The following is a 7,314-nucleotide window of genomic DNA, read 5'->3' as shown; positions in this document are numbered from 1 at the left end:
AAGAGATGTCTCCAATATCAGGATAACTCTGAATTCTAAATGCATGAAATTATCACAATTTAAAAGTGAACGACATGAGGTAGTGCTGTGGAATGCTTCTGCCTTAGGAGAAACATGCAGAGGGAACTGTATTAGATTTTGAACTTTTGGAGAAGGAACAGAAGCCAGAGTAAATGAGAGATACATATTCCTCTGACCCAAGAAGGTGAAGCAGGTTCAAGCAAAATACATTGCCTGTACCTAATGCATTCAGCCACATTATTAATCCCCAAAACAGCATCCTTAGAAATGACTCACCCAAATTTCATTTCTTTCTGTCAAAGTAGACATTCATAATATGAGTATCACTAGTAAGAGGTCACTTTACGTGTTACATTAGAGCATTTTCCATCCAGAACAGAAAGCACCACTGTAGGTGTTCTGGGAAAACTTCTCATTTATGAACAATTTGCTCACATCCAGATTTATAAAATTTTCTTTTCAAGTCTACACTAAACAAATAATGAAATTGGAGAGTATGTTGTTACAGTAAATTATTTCATTTAACAAAAATTACCACCAAAGCATCTGAGAGATTTGCCAGAACTGTTAAACTTGGGAGGGGTTGCAGAGTGTAATGATTATCCAATAGATGAACTAAGTATATGCATGTGCTATTAGCCATGTGGAAATACCAAAGTAATTTTTGGAAAAAAATCATATTTTATATTTGAAAAGGGTCAAAATAATAATGAAAACTAAGATTGAATTGAACTATATGGTGTGCTTATCACTTTTATTTTGACTTATAAATGGGTACTCCCATAATCTTTGTAGTACTTAGGTCTTTTGAAGATCTAATTATAAGCCTTTTCTGGATACTATGTTCAGAAATCAAGATGCAACTGAGAATGGGCTATGATGGGGGGGTCTTGAGTCATGCCTACAGTACTACTATAGTATATTACTAGTTCCCTTTTTGTTTATTGATCTTCAGGATGGATCCAAAGACACTCATTGGCCAATAGAAGAAAGCTAGAATGGATAGTTTTAACAGTTATTTAGTTAAAATAAGATGCAAAGTAAAAATGGTGGATAGGAGGCAGGACTAACTTGCAGCTCCTACTTGGATGGACAGAGCACTAAGTAGAGACCCATATTGTGAACTTTTGCCAGGAAAGACAAGAGAATCCACAGACCCTCTGAAGCAGATAGATTACCGCTCCAGGCTCTGTGGGACAGCGAGGAATTGTGAGTCAGCTTGCTGTCTCAGCTGGGAGGCTGGTAGCCTGGGGCAAGTTCTCAGCCCTGCTAACCAGCTGCCTGGAAATAAACTCGATGCTGTTGGTGGGGCATGGTTGTAGTGGCTGGGGGATGGCATGGGGGTTGGGTGAGGTCTGCGGCTGCTGGCTTTCTCCCACTTCCCTGGTGACCTGGGTGACACACAGCAGAGGCAGCCATAATCCCCCTGGGAACACAACTCCATTGGCCTGGGAACCACACTCCCATCCCCCACAGCAGCCACAGCAAGCCTCGCCCAAAAAGAGTCTGAGCTCAGACATCCCTAACCCTGCCCGACCTGATGGTCTTCATCTACCCTCTCTGGTAGCCAAAGACAAAGCCCCACCTACCACCAGATCCTCCCTATGCTACTGCAGGCGATGCACTCTTGTAGGTGCCACCTCCTGGTGGAGGCCAACCAACACAAAACTAGTGCACTTAACAAAAATACAACCAAGTGAAACAAGAAAAGTTCCCTTGTCCCCCTCACAGAATGTGCGGCAGGGGGAGTGGCTCACTTCTTCAGTGTCCCGCTGCTCAAACCTCTAGGGGAGCATATAGACGGGCAGGTTGCGGGGCTGTGTACCCACGGCAGTTTCTAGGGGTGGATGTTTACAGCTCCTGAAGCCTCAGTGGGCATGTGTTACAGGGTGCTCTTTTAGTTTTGCTGTCTATAGGCAGCTTGTGTTAACCGGCTCAATTAGACCCTCTAGCTTGTCGCAAGGACAGAGGGCTTTCTATATCCCAGGTTCTTGCCTTGGTGTACCAGAAGAATTGGATCACACCTGGGCTTGGAGAATGAGTCCAAGGTTTTATTGAGTGGAGGTAGCTCTTAGCAGATGGGGGAAGCCAAAAGGGGGATGGAGTGGGAAGGTTTTCCCCTGAAGTCAGGCTGCTCAGCAGCCTGGGCTCTCCTCCAACTTCTCCAACCAACCTCTGCATCATTCTGCCAGTTTGTGGCCTGCTGGTGTGCCAGTGCCTGCTGATATGCTTCTCTGGATGTCCATCCACCCATGTGTTCCTCCTCTCATGTGCTTCTCTTGATGTCCAGCTGCTTCTGTCTCTGCCTTGCTAGGGTCTTGGGTATTTATAGGAACAGGATGGAAGCATGGAAGGCCAGGATAGTCTTAGGAAATGCAACATTTGGGCAGGAAATGCCTGTCCTCACCTAGGTCCATGGGGATACAGCCCTAGCCAGGGACCATGCCCTCCTTTACCCAGCACTTCTCTTCCCCATTTCTGTATCATTTAAAGGGACCACACTCTTCCCTTCCCAGCACTTCTGTATCACAAGGACCCTCACAGAGTCCACTTCATTCTCTTGCTATCTCCACCAGAGAAGGTGCTGGTATTCACTGCTGAGAGATCTGAAGATGGATCACATCACAGGACTCTCGGCAGACACTCCCCAGTAACAGCCTAGAGCCTGGTACCTTTACTGGGTGGCTAGATCCAGAAGAGAAATAACAATCACTGCAGTTCAGCTCTCAGGAAGCCCCATCCCTAGGGGAAAGGGGAGAGAACTACATCATGAGAGCACCCTGTGGGACAAAATAATCTGAACAGCAACCCTTGAGTCCTGGATCTTCCCTCTGACATAGTCTACCCAAATGAGAAGGAACCAGAAAAACAATTCTGGTAACATGATAGAAGAAGGTTCTTTAACACCCCCAAAAGATCACACTAGCTCATCAGCGATGGATCCAAACGAAGAAAAAAATCTCTGAATTGCCAGAAAAAGAATTTAGAAGGTCAATTATTAAGCCAATCAAGGAGGTACCAGAGAAAGGTGAAGTCCAACTTAAAGAAATCAAAGAAATGACACAGGATATGAATGGAAAAATCTCCAGTGAAATAGATACCATCAATAAAAACAATGACAACTTCTGGAAATCAAGTACACACTTAGAGAATTGCAAAATGCACTGGAAAGTCTCAGCAATAGAATCAAGTTGAAGTTAAGTAGAAGAAAAGACTTCAGAGCTCAATGATAAGGCTTTCAAATTAATCCAATCTGACAAACAAAGAAAAAAAATTTAAAAAATGAACCAAGCCTCCAAGAAGTTTGGGATTACATTTAACAACTAAACCTAAGAATAATTGGTGTTCCCAAGGAAGAAGAAAAATTAAAAAGTTTGGAAAACCTATTTGAGAAAATAATTGAAGAAAACTTCCCTGGCTTTGCTAATGATCTAGACATCCAAATACAAAAAGTTCAAAGAACACCTGGGAAATTCATCACAAAAAGATTACCGCCTAGGCACATAGTCATCAGATTATCTAAAGACAAGATGAAGGGAAGAATCTTAAGAGCTGTGAGACAAAAGCATCAGGTAATCTATAAAGGAAAACCTATAAGATTAACAGCGCATTTCTCAGCAGAAATCCTACAAGCTAGAAGGAATTGGGGTCCTATCTTTAGCCTCCTTAAATGAAACAATTATCAGCCAGGAATTTTGGATCCAGTGAAAGTAAGCTTCATAAATGAAGGAAAGATACAGTTTTTTTTCAGGCAAACAAATGCTGAGAGAATTTACCACTACCAAGCCAGCACTACAAGAACCGCTAAAAGGAACTCTAAATTTTGAAACAAATCCTTGAAATACACCAAAATAGAATATCCCTAAAGCATAACCTCATAGGACCTATAAAACAGCAACATGGTAAAAAAAAATCCCAAGGTATTCAGGCAACAAATAGGATGATGAATAAAAGAGTACCTCACATCTCAATACTAACATCGAATGTAAATGGCCTAAATGCTCCACTTAAAAGATAGAGAATGGCAGAATGGTTAAGAATTCACCAACCAAGTTCTGCTGTCTTCAGGAGACTCACCTTACACATAAGGACTCACATAAACTTAAGGTAAAGGGATGGAAAAAGATATCCCATGCAAATGGACACCAAAAGTGAGCAGGAGTAGCTATTCTTATATCAGACAAAACAAACTTTAAAGCAATAGCTGTTAAAACAGATGAAGAGAAACATTGTATAATGATAAAAGGACTAGTCCAACAGGAAAATATCACAATCCTAAATATATATGCATCTAACACTGGAACTCCCAAATTTATAAAGTAATTACTGCTAGACCTAAGAAATGAGACAGCAACACAGTAATAGGGGGGAAACTTCAATATTCCACTCACAACACTAGACAGGTAATCAAGATGGGAAGTCAACAAAGAAACAATCTGGACTTAAACTATACCCTAGAACAAATGGACTTAATAAATATTAACAAAACATTCTATGCCATAACTGCAGAACATACATTCTATTCATCAGCACATGGAACATTCTCCAAAATAGACCATATGATAGGCCACAAAACAAGCCTTAACAAATTTAAGAAAATGAAATTTATTTCAAGTATTTTTCTAAGACCACAGTGGAATAAAATTGGAAATCAACTTCAAAAGGAACCCTCAAAACCATGGATATGGAAATTAAATAACCTGCTCCTGAATAATTGTTGTGTCAACAATGAAATCAACATGGAAATTAAAAAATTCTTTGAACTGAACAATAGTAGTGACACAATCTATCAAAACCTCTGGGATATAGCAAAGATGGTGCTAAAAGGAAGTTGATAGCATTAAATGCCTACATCAAAAAGTCTGGAAGAGCACAAATAGACAATCTAAGGTCACACCTCAAGGAGCTAGAGACACAAGAACAAACCACACCCAAACCCAGTGGATGAAAATAAATAATCAAGATCAGAGAAGAACTAAATGAAATTGAAACAAAAAAATACAAAAGATAAATAAAATAAAATCTGTTTTTTTGAAAAGATAAAAAAAATTGATAGACCATTAGTAAAAATAACGAAGAAAAGAAGAGAGAAGATCCAAATAAGCTCAATTAGAAACAAAATGGGAGATATTACAACCAATACTACAGAAATACAAAAGATCATTCAAGGCTAATATGAACACCTTTATGCACATTAGCTAGAAAACCTAGAGTAGAGGGATAAATTCCTGGAAATATACAACCCTCCTAGATTAAACCAGGAAGAAACAGAGGCTCTGAGCAGACCAATAACAGGCAGTGAGATTGAAATGGTAATTTAAAAGTTACATACAAAAAAAGTCAAGGACTAGGCACATTCACAGATGAATTCTATCAGATACTCAAAGAAGAATTGATATCAATCTTATTGACATTATTCCAAAAGATACAGAAAGAGTGAATCCTCCCTAAATCATTCTGTGAAGCCTGTATCGCCCTAATTCCAAAACCAGGAAAGGACATAATGGAAAAAGAAAACTACAGACCAATGTCCCTGATGAAAATACATGCAAAAATCCTCAACAAAGTATTACCTAACTGAATCCAACAGCATATCAAAAAAGATAATCCACCATGATCAAGTGGGTTTTATACCAGGGATGCAGAGATGGTTTAACATCCACAAGTCAATAAATGTGATATACCACATAAACAGAATTAAAAACAAAAATCACATGATCATCTCAATAGATGCAGAGAAAGCGTTTGACAAAATCCAGCATCACTATATTATTAAAAACCCCATCAAACTCAACATAGAAGGGACATAACTTAAGGTAATAAAAGCCATCTATGACAAACCCACTGCCAACATCATCCTGAATGGGGAAAAGTTAAAAGTATTCCCCCTGACAACTGGAACAAGACATAAATGCCCACTTTTACCACTTCTATTCAACATAACACTGGAAGTCCTAGCCTGAGCAATCAGACAAAAGAAAGAAATAAAAGGCATCCAAATCATTAAAAAGAAAGTCAAACTGTCACTGTTTGCAGATGACATAATCCTATATCTAGAAAACCCTAAATACTCATTCAAAAAGCTCCTAGAACTGGTAAATGAGTTCAGCAAAGTTTCAGGATACAAAATTTATGTACACAAATCAGTAGCCCTGCTATACACAAACAGCAACCAAGCTGAGAATCAAATCAAGAACTCAACTCCTTTTACAAGAGCTGAAAAAAAAAATACATAGGAATATATTTAACCTAGGAGGTGAGAGACGTTTACGAGGAAAGCTACAAAACACTGCTGAAAGAAATCATAGATGACACAAATAAATGGAAACACATCACATGCTCATGAATGGGTAGAAACAATATTGTGAAAATGCTCATGCTGCCAAAAGTAATCTACAAATTCAATGTAATTCCCATCAAAATTCCACCGTCATTCTTCACAGAACTGGAAAAAAACAATCCTAAAATTCATATGGAACCAAAAAAGAGCCTGCATAGCCAAAGCAATACTAAGCAAAAAGAACAAATCTGGAGGCTTTACATTACCTGACTTCAAACTATATTATGAGGCCATAGTCACCAAAACTGCATGGTAGTATTAAAAACAAAACAAAACAAAACAAAACAAAAATACAAGCATACAGACCAATGGAACAGAGTAGAGAACCCAGAAATAACGCTGAATACTTACAATCAACTTATCTTTGACAAAGCAAACAAAAGCATAAAGTGGGGAAAGAACACCCAATTCAATAAATGGTGCTGGGATAATTGGTAAGCCACATGTGGAGGAATGAAACTGGATCCTCACCTCTCACCTTATACAAAAATCAACTCAACATGGATCAAAGACTTAAATCTAAGACCTGAAACCATAAAAATTCTAGAAGATGACATTGAAAAAAATGCTTCTAGACATTGGCTTAGACAAAGAGTTTATGACCAGGAACCCAAAAGCAAACATAACAAAAACAAAGATAAATAGATGGGACTTAATTAAACTAAAAAGCTTCTGCACAGCAAAAGAAATAATCAACAAATAGACAACACACAGAGTGGGAGAAAATCTTGCAATCTATACATCCAATAAAGGACTGATATCAAGAATCTACAAGGAACTCAAACAAATTAGTGAGAAAATAAAAAGAATCCCATTAAAAAGTGGACTAAGGACATGAATGGACAATTCGCAAAAGAAGACATACAAATGGCCAACAAACATAAGAAAAAAATGCTCAACATCACTAATTATCAGGCAAATGCAAATCAAAACCACAATGTGATACCACTTCA

The 7,314-nt window shown here is 38.7% G+C and overlaps 1 annotated feature.

Annotated features, from left to right (window-relative positions):
- Window positions 1,413–1,914: an enhancer, noted in NCBI's record as "H3K4me1 hESC enhancer chr6:116049821-116050322 (GRCh37/hg19 assembly coordinates)". NCBI's record gives its function as "activates a minimal SCP1, AML or CMV promoter by ChIP-STARR-seq in naive H9 embryonic stem cells {active_cell/tissue: H9 hESC(naive)}" and the evidence as "EXISTENCE:reporter gene assay evidence [ECO:0000049][PMID:30033119]".

The sequence above is a fragment of the Homo sapiens genome, chromosome 6 (assembly GCF_000001405.40).
Source record: "Homo sapiens chromosome 6, GRCh38.p14 Primary Assembly".
NCBI lineage: Eukaryota > Metazoa > Chordata > Mammalia > Primates > Hominidae > Homo > Homo sapiens.
This window is presented reverse-complemented; position numbering and strand designations above follow the sequence as displayed.